The 22,067-nt window shown below is 38.5% G+C and overlaps 1 protein-coding gene across 8 annotated transcripts in view, besides 1 other annotated feature; it reads left to right on the forward strand.

Moving 5' to 3' along the window:
- Nucleotides 611-1,173: an enhancer, noted in NCBI's record as "H3K27ac-H3K4me1 hESC enhancer chr14:94639893-94640455 (GRCh37/hg19 assembly coordinates)". NCBI's record gives its function as "activates a minimal SCP1, AML or CMV promoter by ChIP-STARR-seq in primed H9 embryonic stem cells {active_cell/tissue: H9 hESC(primed)}" and the evidence as "EXISTENCE:reporter gene assay evidence [ECO:0000049][PMID:30033119]".
- Nucleotides 1,377-22,067, forward strand: part of PPP4R4 (protein phosphatase 4 regulatory subunit 4) — a 105,413-nt gene continuing 84,722 nt past the window's right edge. For 6 of the 8 annotated variants that reach the window (NR_145441.2, NM_001348144.2, NM_001348143.2 and 3 more), the window contains exons 1-2: nucleotides 1,377-1,637; nucleotides 3,109-3,182. Coding sequence is in view for 3 of the 8 variants with exons in the window: in NM_058237.2 (NP_478144.1) it covers nucleotides 1,521-1,637; nucleotides 3,109-3,182 (191 nt within the window). In the remaining 5 variants the exon portion in view is untranslated. Of the gene's footprint in view, nucleotides 1,638-2,107; nucleotides 2,263-2,515; nucleotides 2,783-3,108; nucleotides 3,183-22,067 lie in introns of those variants that run through there. The other 2 variants (XM_024449672.2, NM_001348142.2) reach the window with 2 other exon arrangements.

Raw genomic sequence — 22,067 nt, forward strand, 5'->3', positions numbered from 1 at the left:
TCTGTAAGGGACACGTCTAACATCCATTCCAGCATGGTCTGTGGTAGTAAGGAACTGCTGGCGACCTAACTAGCCGTTATTTGAGGAATTGATAAGTAGAATATGATAGACACACAAATCAAATATTATTATTAGTCATTATTAATGAACTCTTGTTGTATAGTGTCACATGGATAGATCTCTAAGACACTGAGAGAAAAACAAGGAACAGAATGAGTTCTCATCACAATGCCGTTCATATATGTTAAAAACAGACACAAACCATGTATCTTTTGAGGCTGTATACGGTGCATGAACTGGGACATACCTTAATAGAGGAGAGGGTGCATATGGCGGGTAGAAGAATGGGTGTGGAGAAGGAACGAGTAAAAAATAAAAACAAAAAAGAAAAGGGCCTTGCTGACTGACGAGCTGAACAGTACGAACTTGTCCCCAAGGTCCAAAAAAATCGCCCCAATCCCCCTTCCATCTCGTCCCATTCTTAACAGAACCAAGTGCAAGGGACTCAGCGTGGCTGTCCAGAGCAGGGCTTTTCTTCATCAAGGACCTAGGTCCTCTTCCTTCCACCCACCTCGCCACGCCCTCGGTGCCCGAGCCCCGAGCTGTACTTCGACGGCACTTTTCAAACACAACCAAACACACCCAGGCTTCAACCCCGGACCGGCTTGCTTTTATTATTTCTCTTGGGAAAGCCTTATCGGTCGCTAAGATTCAGTTTAAGTGACTCTTCTCTGGGAGGCCTTTTCCGAATGCTGCCCTTGACCAAAAGCCAGCCCCTCCAGGGCTGTATTCCCACAGCCCCCTCCCCCGTCAGCCGGGCACCCCGCGTCCTAACTGCTTATTTTGGGCACTCAGCGCTCCCCTCAGGGCTGGAGTTGTGCTGGGGGGGGTCTCTGGGTTCACGGCCCGCCAGCTGGGGTGGGCGGTCCTGGGAATAACTGGACAGTTAAGTCAGCAGGTACAGCCGCAGCCCAGCCAGCTCCCTCTCCTCTGCTTCCGCTCTCATTGGCTCAGCCTCCCCGCCCCCCAGCCCCCGCCCCCCAGCCCCCCTCCCCAGCGCCCGCCCCCAGCGCCCGCCCTCAGCCGGCTGCGGGAGGCAAAAGGCTCTGCGCACGCGCTGTGGGGTGGGGCACACTTGGTTGGGGGCGGACGGGGGTTTAGGAGAACGGCGAGGAGCGGGCGCAGAAGGGTGGCGGGGCCGCCGGGTCGTTGCGCGGCAGTTGCGTCCGGCCTCTTGCGCGCGGCGCCCGGGAAGGGGCGGGGCCGAGGCGGGCAAGGTGGCGGGCCCCCGCCCCTGGCCCCGCCCCCGCAGCCCGCCCGCGAGCCTCGCCCCGCCTCCTCGCCGGGCCCGCCCCGCCCCCTCGCCGGGCCGTGCTCTTGCTCCCGCCGCCTGGCAGCCTCACGCTCGGCTCCAGCGGCCAAGAGCCGGAGAAAGTCCTGCTGGTGGGCGGCCGCGGGGCTGAGGGCGTCCGGCATCCCGGGGCCGCTCCGGCCCGGGCGGCGAGAGTGCCCGGCGGTCCATGCATCCGCCGCCGCCCGCCGCCGCGATGGATTTCAGTCAGAACAGCCTGTTCGGTTACATGGAGGACCTGCAGGAGCTCACCATCATCGAGAGGCCGGTCCGCCGGAGCCTCAAGGTGCGCCCCGGGGAGAGGACCTGCCCTCACGGCGTCCGGCCGCCTGCCCCGCGCGGTCCCGCGCTGATCTCTGCCCCACGCCACCACCCTCCCCTCCTCCGGGCCGCCGGGACCCTCTCAGTCGGGCCGGCCCCTCCTCCTCCACCCCTCTTGCCGTGTCGCCCTAAGCCAGTTCCCTCTCGGACCCTTCCTCAGAGCGGACCGGGTCCTCTCTAGTCTGGACCCCCATCCCCAAGGGACGGGTCCCTGCCCCAGCCCCGGACCGGCGCCAGCCCCGCGGCCCTTGCCCCTCCTGAGGCGTCCGAATCCCCCCGGCCCACCCCCAGGAACGGCCGAGCTCCAGCCCTCGGGGCAGCCCCAGCGTCCTCCGTCGCGGACCCCCTTCCTTCCGCCCCCCCCCCCCAAAGGAGCTGCCCCTCGAGGCCGCAGCCCACTTCTCCCCGGTCCTCTCCTGGGCTCCCCAACCTCTGGTCCGCTGACGCCGCCCGGGTTCTGGCCCCAGGCCCACCCATCGGTCCACACATTCCCAACTCCTCCCCCCACCTCTCCCGGAGACACCACCCCGCGTCCCGTCCCCTCACCCCCAGCCCAAGTCAGATCAAGCTCGGGTCCTTCTGCCCTCGAGGTAGCCCGGCCTCCCCTCGCTTCCCAGCCAGCACTCTTTCTCAGTGTCGTCCTGGTCCCTGTCTACAAGCCCTCGCGACCCTTTGCCGCCATCCTGAGTCACCGCTCATCCTTTCCTCCCATCCCCTCCAGGACTGTAGCTGGGACCCAGCTCCCCAATCCCCTTGAGGGGGTCAAGCTTCAGCTTGCTCCCCCCACCCCTACTGGCTCTCCCACCCCGCAGAGTCATCTTCCTCCCGGCGGCTCCAACCTTTAGCGCCAGCAAACCTAGTTTACGGACCGGACCCCTTTCCCCTGGCCATTGCTTAATTAGCTGCCTTAGCGCCTCTCACTCCCACCTGCCGCAATATCTCAAATCTCTGGTTTTTTTCCAGCCCCGGAGTTTATTTCCTTCCCTCCCCCACTCCAGATCTTGTCCTTTTCATGCCTACTCGGCTGCAGTCTTCATCCATCTCCCTTTTAGCATTTCTTGGGGTGGAAAATGCTGGAGAAATAGCCTTGAAGTATTAGAGATAAAAAGTGTGTGTATTCGTTTTATAACATGCGTATGAAATGGATTTCAGCCAAGGTTCTGAAGCCACGATGTGATTTTCAAGCTGCAGTCCAGGAGCTAGAAGGATAAAAACAGAAAAATACAGCCCCCTCCCCAAACTCCCCAAACCACCCAATTAGAGACCTCCGTGATTGATGTCGCCTGGTATCCTCAGCTCCTTGATTAGTTTTCATTGTTAATGCTTAATTGTGAAACTTTTTCATTCGTTTATCCTCATAGAGGGTCACTGGGAGGTTGGGGGGCAAGACTGAACCAATATTTGTGGTGCATAAATGTGTATTTTACCCTTGACAGACACCGGAAGAAATAGAAAGATTGACAGTCGATGAAGACCTCAGTGATATTGAAAGGGCTGTTTATCTGCTCAGGTATTTCCTAGTCTTTCTGTGAAATTGCTCTTCTTTTTTCCCTGTGCAGCAGAGATGAATGCTTTCTAAAATGTATGTTCGCGTTATGTTCAGATTTACTTAGCCACTTGAACAGAGTACTTTTGTGTGCATAGTACTTAACTATATTATAAATTAGATTTGGCTATGGACTTATGACTTTGAGAATTTAAATAAAATACCTAATTTATAGAATGTTGCTTGGAGGAGCAAGAGCAGATGGTTGGAGTTGAACCTCATCCTTTTTTTCTTTTCTGGCTTTGGTTTTTCTCGCGTAAGATTCAGTAAGTTTACATGAGACTTGAGTATACAGTGATTAGTTTTAAGTTCATTGTAGAGTAGGAACATTATACGGGATCTACTATACGGAAAAAAATCCACAAATATGGTAGTTCATTTTGCTGTTCAGGATATCCTGTTTGTATTACTTTTGCCGTGCAAGCTTTATGATTTTGTCTGAGGGGTTTTAGAAATTTGGTCGAGCCTACTGTCATTTCAATTTCAAACCATCTCACAGGCTCTACAGAATTGCTTAAGGCAAATGGTTATTGCAAATATTTACAAGATTTTTCTGAACTATTTAAAACATTGTCTTGTAGATTGAGCATCTTAAAAACTAATACAGTGAACATGAATGATGTTTTAATTAATTGATTAAAATCCTTTAGAAACAAATTTCCTACAGCATTTTGCGTTTATTTAAAATTGTTCATTAGCTTACACAACATATTTTTCCCTTTTGGCAAATTAGTCACTCTTTTTTTTTCCAGAATCAGGTTTTGAAAACTGATGTAATTTACCTCCTAGGATATTTGTCACCCTTGTTTCCTTAGTTCAGCGCCAGTTTCAGGTACTGGCAAGTTTCTCGTTCTCCTTTCTTGTTTACAGATCATGTTCCAGTCCCATGTTACTCATTGAATGATTCTGTAAAAAAAAAAAATCCCTCTCCAGGTCTTCAATTTTCTTAATTACTTTTTTAGCCTTCTAAAAGTGGCATCATGAGTTTCTGTTGTAACTTTAGTCAGAATATCAGCATATTTACCATGTAGACCATTCCCTCTGATAATTGTATCATTTAGAAATGTTTCTGCATCTTAGACTTTATGTTGATGTTATTTTCCCCCCTCTTTGGGGTATCTGTGGTAGCATGCTCTCATCATTTCTATTTACTTCAAAGAAAACTTCTATTTATGTGTGAATTCAACGGTATGTGTTTTGGGTGTTTACTTAGAGAATAATCCAACTTTTAACCCATTTTCATATTGTGTTATATTTGGAATACTTTATTCCTTAACAATTAACATGTTTATTATGATGAACAATAGATGTCAACATTTGCCTTTTCCCACAGTTCTTTTACTCAAAGTAGGTAGAAAATTGATGAAAGTGTGGACAAATGTGTTTTAATCTACAACAGTTAATGATTTGAAATAAACTCCTGTTTATTCCTACTGAATTCTTTTCTTTAGTATAAACACTGGCTTAGAATTAGGAAATGGAGAGTCTTGCTCTATTTACTTGTGATAGAAGACACCGTATTCTAAATATCAGTGATAAGGCTTCTTTTTAAGGAAAGCTTATTTGTTTTCTATTTTGCTTTTATTGTTTGTTAGCAAACTAGGTTGTCTGAGTTGTCTTTATTTCTCAGACTCAACATCAGTTTCGCTCAGTTCTGGAATTTACAAAGCCCTTAAAGAGACAGATGGGCCCTCTCATTCTTGGACAAGAGAATTTTAAAAGAGATTCAATATCTCCTTTAGTTTCTTGTGGCTCACCTACCTTGAAGGAGGTTTGCAAGGTGACTCACAAGGGGAACACTGGTTTGGTTATGTATGGATTCTCCAACTGAGTTCTTCTTTTGTATCCCTACCATCTTACCACCTCCTGGGGGAATGTGGGATTTCACCTTAGTCCAGCTTTGGGAGGGATGATGCCAAGAATGCCTGAAAGGGTCTTTCTTCCCTGGGATTCAGGGGAGGGGACAGGATTGTTTCATAGAGATGTTCTGAACTTTGCCTCTGTTTAGGCCTTCTCATCTTCTCTCATGTATTGAGCCTGCTATTGTAGATGTAATTTATTCCTTTTTTTCTAGTTTGTACTTTGCTGAGTCCTTTTTTCCGTCTGTCATTGATTTTCAGGTTTATTTTTGAGCACTTTACCTTTTCCTCTGCATTGAATATTATATAAATGTATAATATATAACATGTTATATATATATTTTCTCTCTGCTTTTATGTGTCAGGTTTGTTTCTTTAGTTCTTTTATTTTGTGTATTGAAACTATTTTGGAGTATTATGTTAAATTAGAATTCAAAGTCAGATGTGTAAGCATCAGTAAGCAATGCTTTATATTAGTGGGGTTCTGATAGCATTTAGATTGAATCCAGTATCTGAAAAAAGCATTTTATATATAGAGTACTGTCATCGATAAAAAACAAATTATACTGTTCATTGTCTTACCCTGAAATATGACATGTCAGTTATTAATGACATTTTCACAATTAAGTTTAGAATATTACAGTCTTCAAAGATTTGACACAGATGAATTTGTGGTTTTGCATACGTGCGATACTGATATACCCATCTGTGGCATTTAGCACTGAAGCAAAACAACTTTCCTAATAGTCACAGCTTGTGTCTTAGTCAAAATCATATCTTATCTTTTTCCTGTTTTTTCTCTTCTTTGTGATTTTGCGTATATTTTTGGAATGTACTTAAAACATGTGAGTGATTTTATTATAGAAGAATCCTAAGTATGTATACTGTGCTTTCATTAGGTAAATCTTTACTTGTATATTTCTGATTGTCTACCAGATAAAGTGTAGACCCTGAAGGCTGGCATTCAGAATACTCCATAGGTGACTCTATCTTAGCTGTGCAATGTGATGTCCCACCAGTCCCTCACTTTTAAAAATGGCTTTACTGAGATATAATTCATAGTCCTTGTAGTTCACCCATTTAAACTGTACAGTTAAGTGAGTTTTAGTATATTCACAGAATTGTGCAACCATCACTGCAATCAATTTTAGAACATTTCCATCACCCCCAAAAGAAACCTTGTACTATTAGCAGTTGCTCCTCAGTACCAACCCTCTCAGCCTTTGGGAACCACTATTCTGCTTTCTGTATCTATGGATTTGCCTATTCTGGAGATTCCTAAACACGGAATCATACAGTATATGGCCTTTTGTGACTGACTTCTTTCACTTAGCATAAGGTGTTCAAGGTTCACCCATGTTGTAGCAGCTATCAGTAGTTTATTCCTTTTTATTGCAGTGTAGTATTCTACTGTATGGATATAGCGCTTTTGTTTAGCCATTCATCAGTTGATGGATATTGGGTTGTTTCCACTTAATTCTTCACTTTTTGATTCAGTCATGCTGGCCTTTTCACTGTTACTCAGTTTCATTGTGTTTATCCTTAATTTTTGCTTTTCCTCATCCTGGAGTACTCTTTCAATATATCCTTATCCAACATACACCATCTCTAGGATCCAGCTGTAATCTTACATCTTTCATAAAGTCTTCTCTAACTGCTTAAACCACATGGATCCCAGGCTTCTTTGAGCTCCGTTATCACTTAGTGGCGCTTTCTTCAATTGGCCATTAATCACTGATTTACATTCCTTAACTGTGTGTGCATGTTTTCTTCAGTAGATTGTAAGGTCCTGGAGGACAAGCTTTTAGAGGACAAGGGCAAGCTTTCTTGTTGTTGTTCTTTCTTGTTCTTCGCTGTGATATAAATATATGCCTCTTAATGGAATAAAGAGTATTTAAGATGACCATACTGCCAGATGAATTAAGGAACTTCTGATATTTTTGATTTTAGGTATTATGAGTCATATCTTGTTCCACAATTTATTATCTATGTGACAGTGGTGAAGTTAGTTATGGTTTTCGAGCCCTGCTTTTCATTTGTAAAGTGGAAATAATCATTCCCTTTTCCCAGTGTGGTTGAAGCACCTGGCACATAATAGGCATCCCGTTACTGTTAATTCCCTTCTGTCTCCTTTTCCCTTTCCCTACTTCCTTGCTACTTAGGTGCTCAAGTTACATTTAAAACTTTAAAAGAGGATAATGGTATTAATTTTGCCTTCCAATAATTTAATAAACGGACAAAGTATACCAACTGAAGTTTGTGATAGATATCCATTAACTTCGTTTGCTAATAGTATTTATCAGAAATTAGAATCTTCACAAATCATAATTAAGCATTTTTAACTGAGTAATAGTAAGGTCAGCCTGTTGATTTATATTTTCTTACCAAATGACCCTAAGTAATATTTGCTATTATGCATTAAATGTATTGATTGGTTAATGTACTGAGACTAGCTTTTATGTTGCTTACTTTTAAAGTCACTTGTGACTTTAAAAATATTTTTCACTTTGTGCTGTGACTTTTAAAGCATTTTGAACTTTGCTTTCCCAGGGCAGTCAGATAAAGAGCTTTGCTTTTTTTTTTTTTTTTTTCTTTTTTCTTTTTTAAAGACAGGGTCTCACTGTGTTTCCCAGGCTGGAGTGCAGTGGCTATTCACAGGCACGGTCACAGTGCTCTAACTCCTGGGCTAAAATGATCCTCCCACCTCAGCTTTCTGAATAGCTGGGACTACAGAAGGCACACACCACCTCCACAGCCACTGCCCCCGATCATAAAGTGCATCTTTATTTGGAACTTTTTTTTTTAACTTTCTCTTCCTATTTTTTAAAGAGTAAGTGCTCCCCCTAGTGATATGAAAGAGTGAGATTTCTGCAGTCAAATCAGTGGAAATAAACAAGTGTTGTACCATGTGAGAACTCTGGCGTACTTCTTCTTGGGTTCAAGACTAGGATAGGGTAGCAATGAGACAGTAAGGAAGAACTCCAGTGATTAAAGCTTTGCTACTCACCTAGCTTTTGGTTGTTTTTCTTTTAAAATACCTATCTTATTTGCTATCCCAAAGTGGAAAGTTGTGTGAAAAACTCCTTTGAATGCCCTCCTTTTTATGACGTGTGTCCCCACATTTACTTTCATTATTGTCTTGATTTCTGTTTTTGATGCTTGCTTCCTTTCAGTATTGTTTTAGTGAGGCATGGTTTGTGTGTGTGTGTATGTGTGTGTGTGAGAGAGAGAAAGAGAGAGGAAGAGAGAGAGATCACATTTGTGTTGTGCATGCATGTGTATATGTGTATATAGGTGGTCTTGAGTGACCAGTATTGCTTGCTCAGTTTTCTTTAGTGATACACAGGAGAGGACTTTTGCATTCTTCACAATTAAGATAGATAGTTGGTTAGTTAATACAAACAATTGGCTAGAATCATAAAATCACAAATGTTACATATTTTCAACATCAAATTTTAATGTAAACTATAAATATATTTTCATTTGCCAATCTTTTGATGTGAAGTCATGATCTTTTCTTTGAGTATGGGTCTGCTGATTAAAGTTTGAAATTCTCCTTCTTTCATAAATCACCCCATAATGCATTTACAATATCAAGTTCAGTTTTCTTTAAAGTTGAACAAGAATTTAAATTTGCTTATGAAGCAGTCTGAAAGCATGGTTCTAGGTTTTTATGATTTTCTACTTGTGTTTTAAAAGTTTTGTTCTTCCATACTTTAGTAGCAATTTTCTTTGACAACTTATGTTTATTGAATTTAGTTTTTCTAAAACTTTTAACTTAATTTGATAGAAACAAATATATGTGTTCATATATTTAGGTAATATTTAATTAAATTATGTAATTGCAACAGCAAGTGAAATTTGAAATAAACTAGTTTGAGAACATACTTAGCTGACTCTTAATTACAACTCAATTAGTGAGAGTGGAATTCTGTGGGCTTTCCAGAGAGTAGCCTATTAGCGACGAGCTTTCAGCTTGCAGTTGCAAGGGAGTAGAGAGTATTGCTTAATCAGGTCTTTTAACATCTTGTCACATCTCAAACACCTTTGTTTGAGAGAGATACATACCATCTCCTTTCCAAGTGTGCTCTGTGATGATCTTGCTTCATTCTTGATATTCCTCTCCTGTCTCTCTGTTGTATTTGTTCCCATGGTCTGGTTTGTTCTTTGTTTGCCTTTATAGATTTAAAAAAGTAATGAATTTGGAATATCAGTTAAAGAAGTACTTTCATAAGCTTATATTTTATTTTTTAACGCGAACTTTGAATGTATGCAGAAATGTGCACAAATCATAATACAGCTTGTTGAATTTTCACAAGTGAACACACCCATGTACCCAGTATCCAGATTAAAGCATAGAACATTATCATGTTAGCTTAGTAGCTTCCTTTGTATTCCTGTCCCAGTGCCCTGTACTTCCTGCAAAGGGTAGCTACTCTACTGACTTCTAACACTATACATTGATTTACCTGATTTTGCACTTTATATAGTAGGAAGCACTCTGTGTACCTTTTGTGTATAGCTGCTTTTGCTCAATATTTTAAAAAAGAGATTTATCCATATTGTTGCATGGAGCAACAGATTGTTCATTCTCATTGCTGTATACTATTCCATTATGTGAATATACCACAATTTATTCATTCCACTGCTGATGGACATTTGGCTTAGTTTTCAGTTTGGGGCTTTTATGAATAATGCTGTTATAATCATTCATGTACAAGTCTCTTGGTGAATACATGTGTGCATTTCTTTTAGGTATCATTATAGAAGCCGAATTGTTGGTCATAGCATATGCCTATGTCCAGCTTAAAAGATATTGCTAAACAGTTTTCCAGTGTGCTTTGACCAGTTTGTACTTCTGCCAGCAGTGTCTGAGTGGTCCCAGCCTATATATTTTTAGGAAACAAAAGTGACAAACTTCTAGTACATAATTTCTAGCATATCAATAATGAACTTCCTAGTTAATAGCCTTTAGATGTTTCGTTTCTCTGTGCATGACTTACACCATCTAACTTTTTTTCTTTCCCTACAAGAAGGGGAGTTCTATAAGGTTTTACTTGGCTACACTGTTGGTTAGAAGACTCTCAGTTATTAGATTGTCTCTTAGGAGATGAGGCATGTTGTGTGATTAGTTTTTCTTAGAAAAAGAGAAACAAAGTGGATATTGGAGTCTACCTGCTTATGGGAGTGCTATTCTCAGTCCCTGTGCTTTTAATGATTCTAAGAGGTCCTCATTAAAAAAATTGCCCACGTTGTCATCCTCTGTGAAGATGATGTACAAATGACTTGCCTTTCTACATGGAAATTGCAGGCATCTTCATTTGTATTTTTTAGGACAGAGGGATCACTGTTTAATATATTAAGAGCAGTATATAATGGATTCCAGCTGTATACCTTCCATTATTGCTAAGGCCAAATTACTGAAGTCTTTGGCAAACCTTGAATTCCCTGTTTTGGAAAAGTACGAGGTCTGTGAATATAAAGGGTTTGGAGATTGTTTCCCATCTCTGTTTCCTTGTCTTTTGTTATGAGAACAACCATGGGAGGCATCTGTGTCTTTTTTCCTACTTACCAAACACTCAGAAAGGTTTCTTTGTGACATCTGTAGAAAGCAGAATGCTCTCATGGGATCTATAGGAAAAGCTTGAAAATAAAAAGTGAAATATTTTCATCAATGTAAAAGTGACCCATATAATGTCATTGAAAAGACCTCTGAAAGCGTAATAACATAATGTGATGTGAGAGAATTGAGCAAAGTTTTCATCTTGTAAGCATAGTGTTTTATTACTTTAAAAAAGCCTATACAATTCTGTAGTACAAAATAATTTCATAATATAGAATAATAAAATACATTAAAATTAATCTATAAAATAAGATAATATATAAAGCAATATAAAATAAATGAGTATACATATTTGAATAATGTGTCAAGTTATGTAACTATCAATGTAATCATATTATAACATATGTATATCATAAATGTATATGCATGTGTGTGTATATGTTTATTTTCATGAGCAATTAATTCATCCCAACGCTCCCTCTTGAGAAGTAGCTAAGTGAGACACAGGGACATAGGAAGATTGAGTTCTATCATAAATTATAACTAATTAGTTCCCAGTAAAAAGTGGGAGTTGTACTGCTTGGTTCCCAGTCTTGTAATGTTGAATTGTGCAGTAGTTTCTTAGTATTGACATTAAGAATTAGAGGGCTCACCATACCAAGTGGTAAAATTCATAGCTTTCTTTTTTTTTTGAGACACGGTCTTGCTCTGTTCCCAGGCTGGAGTGCAGTGGTGCGATCACAGCTCACAATAACCTTGAACTTCTGGGCTCAAGTGTTCCTCCTGCCTCAACCTCCTGAGTAGCTGAGACTACAGGCACTAGCCACCATGCCTAGCTAATTAAGTTTTTTTTGTAGAGTTAGGGGTCTTGCTCTATTGCCCAGTCTTGTCTTGAACTCCTGGCCTCAAGTGATCCACCTGCCTCAACCCCGCAAGGTGCTGGGATTATAGGTATGAGTCACCAGGCCTGTCTTCCTTCTTAAAATTAAGATTGCATGAAGGGAATTAAAGCACTGAATAAGGTCCAATGAACTTTTAAATCTGTACGTCTTTCAGTTTGATATTTTGGGTATTATAGTGTCTTTCATTGACTATGTTGGCTATCAAATGTGGAAAGCATAGAGAAAGTGTTTAGGGTTCTTCATAGTCATCACTTTTGGCTTATCCTTATACTGGTATAATATTGGTATATGGTAATCATGTTAGTAATAATTACAAAATCTATTATACCCTTAGAATGTAATTTTCCCTCCAATCAGAAATGTTAATAATGGAAAAGATTTGTAATGCAACTAATAGTTGCTTTACAGTATCTTATTAATTTAAGTTAAAACATATATCTGAGTACTTATGTGCTAGGCATCTCCTGGGGAATGAAGGTCATTATACTAGCAGATACTTGTATTCAAGGAGATAGTTTAAGGAAGCAAATGCATTTTTCTTAAATTTCAGTAGAATAGAGGTTATCCCCAATTAACAGGTACTGGGAGTCAGTGTGTTGTATTGGAAATAGTTTAAGACAGACCCAGATTTATTCTTGGAGGCTGAGGCTTGCTCATTTACTTACTGAGAGACCTTGGGTAAGTTGCTTATCTTCTGTGAGCCCAAGTTCCCTAATGTAAAATGGGAATAAATAGGCTGGGCATAGTGGCTTTCACACTTGTAATCCCAGCAGTTTGAGAGGTCAAGGCAGGAAGATCAGTTGAGCCCAGGAATTCGAGACTAGCCTGGGCAATATAGCGAGACCCTGTCTCTACAAAAAAATTTAAGAAATTATCCAGGAATGGTGGCTTGTGCCTGTTTTTTGGCTACCTGGGAGGCTGAGGTGGGAGGATCGCTTGCGCTCAGGAGTTTGAGCCTGCAGGAAGCCACGAGTGTGCCACTGAACTCCAGCCTGGGCAACAGTGTGAGACCCTGTCTCAAAACAAACAAAAAAAATAAAATGAAAATAATAATATCTTCATTGCAGGATTGTTGAGAAGATGAGAGGAAATGTATGTATAGGGCACAGTGCTTGGTACAGGGTAGTGTTCAGTAAAGGATAGTTGTTGCTGCCCTTTTAAATCATCTGTTTGGGATTAGGAACATATTTTACTTTGGATATATAGGAAACATCCCATTTGGAAACATCCCATTTAGAAACTTCTTGTGTTACAAAGTTTCCTCTCTAGATCAGTTTTCTAGATTGGGCACCAAATTCCCCCATCTCCATTTTTGGAAAATAACTTTATTGAAGTATAATTTAAATAAACTAAGTTTATAGTTTGATGAGTTTTGACAAATGGGTACACCTGTGTAACTAGCACAAAATATAGAACATTTTCATCACCCCCACAAAAGCCACTGGTATCTCTTTGCAGTTAATGCCACACCCTAACCCTAAGCAACCATTAATCTGCTTTTTGTCACTGTGGAATAATTTTGCCTGTTCTGGAATCTAGCCATAGTTTTTTATATCTCTTGGATAAATGCCTAAGAATGTTTGTTGGGTCATATGCTGACTATATATTTTTTTCATTTTTTGAAGCTTTTTGAGGTATAATTCACATCCAATAAATCACATGTATTTAAACCATGTAATTTAATGATTTTTGACATATGTATACACGATTCAGATATTGAACATATCCGTCACTCCCAAACACTACTTGTGTGCTTAGATTATCTCTCTCTCCCTCCCGTGAGCCCCTTCCATTCCAGGCAACCACTGATGTGCTTTCCGTTACTATAAATTAGTTTCCAATTTCTAGAATTTTATAGAAATGGATCATACAGTCTACTCTTTTGTCTGGCTTCTTTCAATCTAATTATTTTGTAGATTATCTTTGATGTTGCCTATATCGTTAATTTACTGCTTTTTATTATTGATAATGATTCCGTTTAATGGGTATAACACATCTTGTTTATCCATTCATCAGTTGATGGACATTTGGGTAATTTTCAGTTTTCAGCTATTACAAACTTAGTGACTATACACATTCATTTATAAATCTTTATGTAGACATGTGCTTTCCTTCCTCTCTGGTAAACATCGAATTGCTGGACCATATAGTAAATATATGTTTATACCTTTAAGAAACTGCTAAACTGTTTCTAAGGTGATGGTACCATTTTACATTTCCACCAGCAGTATATGAGCGTTTGAGTTGCTCCTTATACTCTATAACACTTGATATGATCAGTCTTTTTAATTTTAAGTCATTCTAGTGGTGTGTAGTGTTATTTCATTGTGTTTATGATTTGTTCTATTGATTACAGAGAGTATTGAAGTCTCCAACTGTAATTGCAGGTTTGTCTAGTCCTCCTTTAAAATATATAATTTTTTACTAGTAGTTTAGTATTTTGAAACTGTGTGGTGAAATGCACATAAAATTAGGATTATTATGTTTTCTTGAATTGACCCCTTTATCATTATGTAATGTTTATTCTTTGAAATATACTTTGTTAGGCCGAGCGTGGTGGCTCACACCTGCAATCCCAGCACTTTGGGAGTCCGAGGTGGGCAGATCACAAGGCAGGAGTTTGAGACCAGCCTGGCCAACATGGTGAAACCCTGTCTCTACTAAAAATACAAAAATTACCTGGGTGTGTTGGTGGGCACCTGTAATCCCAGCTACTCGGGAGGCTGAGGCAAGAGAATTGCCCCGGAGGCAGAGGTTGCAGTGAGCCAAGATCGCGCCACTGTACTCCAGCCTGGATGACAGAGCAAGACTCTGTCTCGGAAAAAAAAGAAAAAAAATATGTTGTTCTGAAATCTACTTTAATATTCACATATTCATTCCAACTTTCTTTTGGCTAGCATTTACAAAGTATATCTTTTTCTGTCCTTTTAATTAATTTTTTAAATTTCAGAATAATTTTAAATTTTCACAAACATTGCAAAGTTAGTATAGAAAGTTCCTATATATCTTCCACCAGTGTCCCCTAATGCTAACATGTTATTAATACATAATCATGGTACATCTTTCAAAAATTCAGAAATTAACATTGATACATCACTCCAAACTAAACTTCAGACTTTATTTGGATTTCACTAGTTTTTTCACTTTTTTTTTTTTCTGTTTCAAGATCAACTCCAGGAAACTGCATTGTATTTAGTTGTCATGTCTCCTTAGTCTTCTCTTGGCTGTGACGCTTTCTTCACTTTTCCTTATTTTTCATGATCTTGATAGTTTTGAAGAATACTGGTCAGGTATTTCATAGACTGTCCCTCAAGTTGGGTTTGTGTGATGTTATTTCTCATCATTAGATTGGGGTTATGTGCTTTTAGGAAGAGTACCATGGTGGTGAAATGCCTTTCTTATTTCATCATATCAGGGGGTTCATGCTATCACCGTGGATTTATCATCAGTTATGTTAATTTAGGTCATTCAGTTAAGGAAATACCTGCCAGGTTTCTCCACTGTGGGAGTGGTGAGAGATGACTTGCAGCCTTTCCTCATCTTAGGAGAAAGCATTCTGTCTCTTACCATTAACTATATATAATGTGGTGGTACTTTTTTTTATAGATACCATTAGGTTAAGTTTCCTCTATTCCTAATTTGCTAAGTTTTATCATGAACGGGTATTGAATCTTGTAGAATTTTTTTTCTGTATCTATTGATATGGTATATGGCTTTTCTTATTTTGTCTTTTAGTATAGTGAAGTACGTTGATTAATTTTTGAATGATGAACCAACCTCTCATTCTTGGAATAAATCCTACCTGTTCATTATGTATTAGTCTTTTTATATGTTTCTAGACTCTATTTGCTAATATTTTGTGGAGGATTTTGTCATTTATATTAATGAGAGGATTAATCTTCAGTTTTCTTATAATGTCTTATTTTGATTGTATTTTATGAAGATGACCCTACAATCAAAATGCCTTGTATTCTGTTACACTGCTTAGTTTCTTCATTATTACTACATAAATAGCATATGGACCTAGTCTTTGGACAACATATTGAAATCTTGACAGGGATATGTCTATCTTGCCTAATATATATATATGTGTGTATACACACACACACACTTATATAAACATTTATATCTTGATATAGTACCTAAATTATTTGCTGTTGAATTACATATGTTGTAATTAATAATTATATTTCCTTAGACATTTGTATAGTTGAAATTTGCTAAGAGAGTAGATCTTAAGTATTCTCACCACAAAAAGTCAGTATGTGAGGTGATGGACATGTTGATTAGCTTTACTGTAGTAATCATTTTACAATGTATACATATAGCAAAATATCATAATCACTTTGTAGCCTGTAAATACATAATTTATTTTTTCTCAATTTACAATTAAAAAGGGTTAAAAAATCCCATCACATTGTATATCTTGAATATGCAGCATTTTTGTCAGTTATGCCTCAATAAAACTCAAAAAATTATTTTAGAATAACTAGAGGACTGATAATTCATATATTGTTGAATGATAAGTATGTCTAAAACAATTACCATAAGAGAAATCAGGGAGAAAATTGACTTTTTTTCTCTTAGAGAAGAAAATATACATATGTAAAATTTATTTAAATGAATAGTTATTTAGGAACCCATGAGAGAGATTATAGGATCAATAGTTTTTAAAAATTTGCTCTTGCTTTGTGGAGATGACATTTTGACCCTGATAGTAACTAGCTGGTTGACCTAAGTTCCATAATCTCTGTAGATGTTGGTTTCTTCATTGTCACAATGTGAAGGAGATGTATTTTATTTCCAAGACCCCCTTTTAGTTTGAACATTTCATTGTATTCTATCTTATCCTGTCCTTATTATTAGAGAACAGAAATAATTATTTCACGTAGCTTTTACAGATTGATTTTGGATTGACTGATGAGTTTTTAAATATTATAATTGATTTGTTTGTATTACATTTCTTCTGATTCAGTGCCCCATTTACAGTGATAATCAGTCAAATGAACAGACAGGAGCCACTGTATATTATTTGGGACTCTCTTTCTGGGTCAGATTATACACTCTGGATTTCAGTCATCATTTCCATGGCATGATTTCCAAATGTGGCTGTAGCCTTGGCCTTTCCTTCTCAACTTTGGATCATTTCTGTTTGCTGGGCACCTCCACCAGGGTGTCTCCACCAGAATGTCTTGCTGGCTTTTCAAACTCAATGTGCTCGAAACTGCATTTATCACTTTTTATCTAAATATGCCTCTGCTTGTTATTGAAGCCTGACCATCTTTCTATATCATACTGGAGGGAAACCTGGGAGTAATTTTATACTCTTTTTCTCTCAGTACTCTTGACAGTCTTTATTGTCTGACACATTCTGTGCTAGGCATAAAGCATTATTGGATTGTGTTGGAGAATCCAGAACCAGTGCCTGGCACCCAGCAGTTCCTGAATGATTGAACATGTCACTTTACCTATTTAGGTTAGTTAATTGGGTCTCTTCTCCTTCCTGTAATACTTGTCACCCCTTCTTCCTGTAGGTGCCAGGGATTTGGCTTGCTTTTATCTTTTTTTTTTTTTTTGAGATAGGGTCTTGCTATATTGCCCAGCTGGTCTCAAACTCCTGGCCTCAAGCAATCTTCCTGACTTAGCCTCTCTAGTAGCTGGGATTACAGGCAGTGTGCCACCACACCTGGTTTGTTTGTTTGTTTATTTTTAATAACTGTCGGCTACTATTCTGTTTTCTGAGTTTGTCTTACTGGCTGGGTTGGCAGTATGTTATCTTAGCTAGCCCTTTTCCCCTGCTATGTCTTAACATATCTATATATTTTTAAAAAGTATTTTAGGCTGGGATGGTGGCTCACGCCTGTAATCCTGGCACTCTGGGAGGCAGAGGTGGGTGGATCACTTGAGGTCAGGAGTTTGAGACCAGCCTGGCCAATATAGTGAAACCCTGTCTTTACTAAAAAATTAGCCAGGTGTGGTGGTGTGTGCCTGTAGCCCCAGCTACTCAGGAGGCTGAGGCAGGAGAATTGCTTGACCCCGGGAGGCAGAGGTTGCAGTGAGCCAAGATTGTGTCATTGCACTTAAGCCTGGGCGATGCAGGGAGACTCTGTCTCAAAAACATAAATAAATAAATAAATAAAATAGAAAGTATTTTAAAGGAATTTTTACTGCTATTTGTTAATGAGGAAATAGAAAGGCTGGTTAAAAAAATTAACAGGAGGGAGCTTACAATGTTCCCAGAACTCTTCCAAGTTTATGTAGTTATTCCTGAACTAATGTTTTGCATACCTTTCAATATTCCTGCTATAGCTCATATATTTAGGACAGACTTTGATAATATTCCCTTTTACTCTATGCAAAATACTGTAGAGCAGTGATTTCCAACTTTTTTTTTTTTTTTACTATGACCTTATCATGTAAGGAATACATTTCAAACTGTGACCCTACATATACAGACACGTTTGTGTGCATGTGTATTAATATAGATAACTGAAACTAAAATTTAACAATTATTCTTCCATGTATAATACAATAAAACATATCAAAGTTAATATCAAATGTAATCTTTGTATTGCAGTATAATATGGAACAAATCCAAGATAAACAATACAAAAAACCAAGGATTTATTAATGCCACAGGTGTACTTGCACCTTAATAAGTTCTTTTCACTCCAGAACAATTGGGAGTCATACACATCTTGTTATACTGTTTTGAAATGTGCTGTGGGGTGTGAGGAGAAAGGGAAGGTTGAAATAATTCTAAACTGTATCCTAAGGAATCAGAGGGCTGTTTGTACCCTCGTTGGTATAAAGAGGGAGGGGAAAAATAAGCTCATCTGTTTTTTTCAGGCAAATTTTGAGCCTTTATTTTTTCGTTTAAGTTGACATGTAGTAATTGTATGTATTTATGGGATACAGAGCATATTTCAATACATGTATGCAGTGTGTAATGATCAAATCAGAGTAGTTAGCATTCATCACCTTGAACATTTATCATTCCTTTGTGTTGTGAACATTCAGAATTCTCTCTTCTAGCTATTTGAAAATATACACTAAATTGTTGTTAATCGTATTCACCTTACACTGGTACAGAACAGCAGAACTTATTCCTCCTATCTTGCTGTATAAATTGTTGAAGAGCCACTCAAAAGGCAGTGTTCTCTATATCATTGATGATAAAGGTTTAAGCTAAAGAGGAGTTTATCTCTTCGCAAGGAACATGAAACTTTCGTATACTGTTTTGACATGGCATTGATAATAAAGGATACATAGTGGACTTTATTAGTAAAATACCTTATTGTAACATAAATATTAAATCATGAACATAACTCTTACAAAATTATCAACTTAGAAATCCTTTTAGGCTGTCATTTCAGCCAGTTCTTATGATGGGACTATGACCTGAGATGGTATGATGGCTATAGGCTATGGACTGAGAAATCATAGGTTGGAATACTAGCTCTAATCTTTACTAGTCACATGACTTTGGGTGAATCCCATTTTTTTTCCTGAGCATCAGTAAGGATAGAAATATACCGCTCATATATTGTGATGATTAATGTGATTATGTATGTAAAGTGCCTTGTATAGCACATAGTAGGCCCTTAAATGTTAACTTTTCTGTTACTCTTTCTTTGGTCCTACTAAAAAATATTATTTGTTTCTCTATGGTCTTAAGCATGAAGACTATAATCAGGTTTGAATGGTTTTCTACATAAACCTTTTAAGGCAATGTTTTAAAGATTTAACATTATTAAGAATTTCATTTTACAGGACTAACATATGGAAATATGCTATATTTGAAAAATTACTGATGTTAGGGATTGGTATTCAATATCTTCTGCTTAAGCTTCTTGTGTCCCTCTATCAGTCATCTTTGCCTTACAAGAAGGTTTTGTCTTTCTTGGAAGGTTAATTCTCTAAGGTAATCATTTAATTTATTTTGTTCTATTCATTAAAACAAACTGTTTAATAATTTAATTTGAGTAAGGAAATAATTAACTATCAACTATGTAAAGTTTAGTTTTTATTGTGAACTCAAAGCAAGGCTTTGTGGCATCTGCTTTATTGTTATAAATTCAAGCACAGTATCAGCAGCTTATGAGTTATATTTTGGATTTTAAGTGAGAGCTGCTAGGAGTAGGATCACTGGCTCTCTATAACTACAAACATTTGATATCCTGCACATAGTTGAACAGTAGCAAAGCTGGAGTTCTCAGATATAGTACTGACTGATTATGTCACGTCATCATTTTTGGATAGCATCTGCTCATCTCCTCTCTCTTGTCTAAGTGGTTTAGGATTAAACAAATTATGAGGGTGTCCAGGCTAGGAAAAGAGGACTTTGTGCTATGTAGTCAAAATTTTTAGTGTGTGAATCTATCTTCCTTATTAGATTTTAAGTTCTTAGAGGTAGGAGCAAGGTACAAGAATAGATGAAGATAATATTGTTAGTACCTGGATTTATTCTAACATGTGGCTTATTCTTCGTGGAGGAGGGCAAGGATTTCATAAACTAGCACAGGTAGCCTCATTTTGAGAGATCAAAGATGTTTCTGAAAATGCTTTAGGCAATATCGTAAACTAAGAATTTCTGGTTCCTTTCTTGATTGCAACAAATTGGTTATCATTTTGTGTTTTTGTCTAGCATCATTGATCATTGAGGACAAACTTTTTTTTTTAACCATATGTTTTTTAAAAGCATTAAGCAGCAAAGTTACACAGTTTTCTCTAGCAGTGCTGCATAGCTTAGGAGCAGGAGTGGGATAGGAAAAGCTGATAGATGTGTTTGGTATTGTCTGGATGCACAGTTTGGACAGGAGTCAGTGTAGTATAGTGGTTGGTATGAGTTTTGGAGTAGTACAGGCTGCATAACTTTAGGCAAGTACCTTAATTTCTCTAAGCTCTAATTTCCCCATCTACAACATGGGATAATAATAATATCTACCTACCTTATAAAATTAGTATGATAATTAAATAAGATGAGTGCAAGTAAGGTGCTTATTTATTAGCACAATGCCTGGCTTATAGTATATTAGATGCTATTTTTATTTTGTTGTGATTAGAAGGAGGTTATTAAAGTAAGGTTATTGGCGAGAATCTAATTGAAATAATAGGGAGGTTCAGGCTGGCAAGGAGGAAAGTGAAACTAGGAAGAATGTTAGGTACTGGAGAATAAGAAGGTTAATAGGTTAGAAATGTGATGAGGGTGAAATGTAGGCTTAGCAATAGAAAAGTAGAAAAATAAGAGTTAATGGCCAATAAGTGAGATCACAGCTTGAGATTCTAGAGATGGAATATTTCCAGATAATATCCAGCCTTTGACAAAAGGAATGGGTTGCTGATATGAAGTGAAGATGAATTCATTTTAACAAATATTTATGAAGCCTTTACCGTGTGCTGCTTTGCTAGGCATTGGGGAATGTCACATTTGGGTAAAACATCCTTGGATTACAGGAAATCAGAAACCAGCTGTTGGTCACTCACCTGAATGAAAAAGTTTACCATGACAATGGCAGAAGCTGGGACAACAAGAAAGACTATAAAACTTATTGTATCTAAGAATACTTCAGTGGATTGACTTGTTTTTCATTGGCATAAGATTTTACTATAAATGGCTCTAAAATAGGTGCATCTCCCAGTAGGGATAAAATAATTAGTAACATTAATTTAGAGTTTAAAAGATAGGTGTCCTAAATTCATTTATTTAACTAGTCTTGTTTTTTTCAGCTTTCCTTTTTAGCCACTAGTGTACAGATTAGATGATTAACCCAATTCTTTTTAGTTTTAGAGGAATGGTTTGTTGAGTGGGCTTGTGTTCATTTTGTTTCTGAGTAAGTATCCTAGAAAAGGAGCATGTCCCAAAGAATAGCACAACTGGGGCAAAAAGGAGCAGCTCAAGTTGTAACCATGATGATTGTTTCCTGTGCCGGCTTTTCAATAGGAAGTTGTAGATTTTAAAATCTGGGAAGCTGGGAAGCTTACTTTGAAACAAAAAGAATAATGTTGATCAAATATTTAAAAATTACATGTGTGCTATAAAGCAGCAAGAAAGTGAAATCCTGTATGCCATTTTTTTGGGTTTCTTCTAGTCAGTGATGGTAGCATAGATCCACACATACTTGTTTTTTTTGTTTTCTTTTGTTTGTTTTTTTCTTAAGAGATAGAGTCTGGCTGTGCTGGTCAGGCTGGACTTGAATGCCTGGGCCTGAGCTGGAGTGATCTTCCTCTCTTAGTCTCTTGACTAGCTGGGACTATAGGCGCAGTACCCCACACCGGGCAATACTTGGTTTATTTATACTGATTATGACTAAAGTCAGCAGAACAAAACAACATGTTCACAGCCCCAAGAAATTCCCAGGCATGCAAGTTAAGAACTCCCATTTTAATGCAAGCCAAGTCTAGTCAGTGACCCTTTTGTCTGATACACAACCTTTTCACAAACTCCTTATACTTTTCTCTAATGTACATTTAAGTAGACTTACATGTTATTCCATCTCTGCTATTTTTTTTCCATATTACTTTT

The sequence above is a fragment of the Homo sapiens genome, chromosome 14 (assembly GCF_000001405.40).
Source record: "Homo sapiens chromosome 14, GRCh38.p14 Primary Assembly".
NCBI lineage: Eukaryota > Metazoa > Chordata > Mammalia > Primates > Hominidae > Homo > Homo sapiens.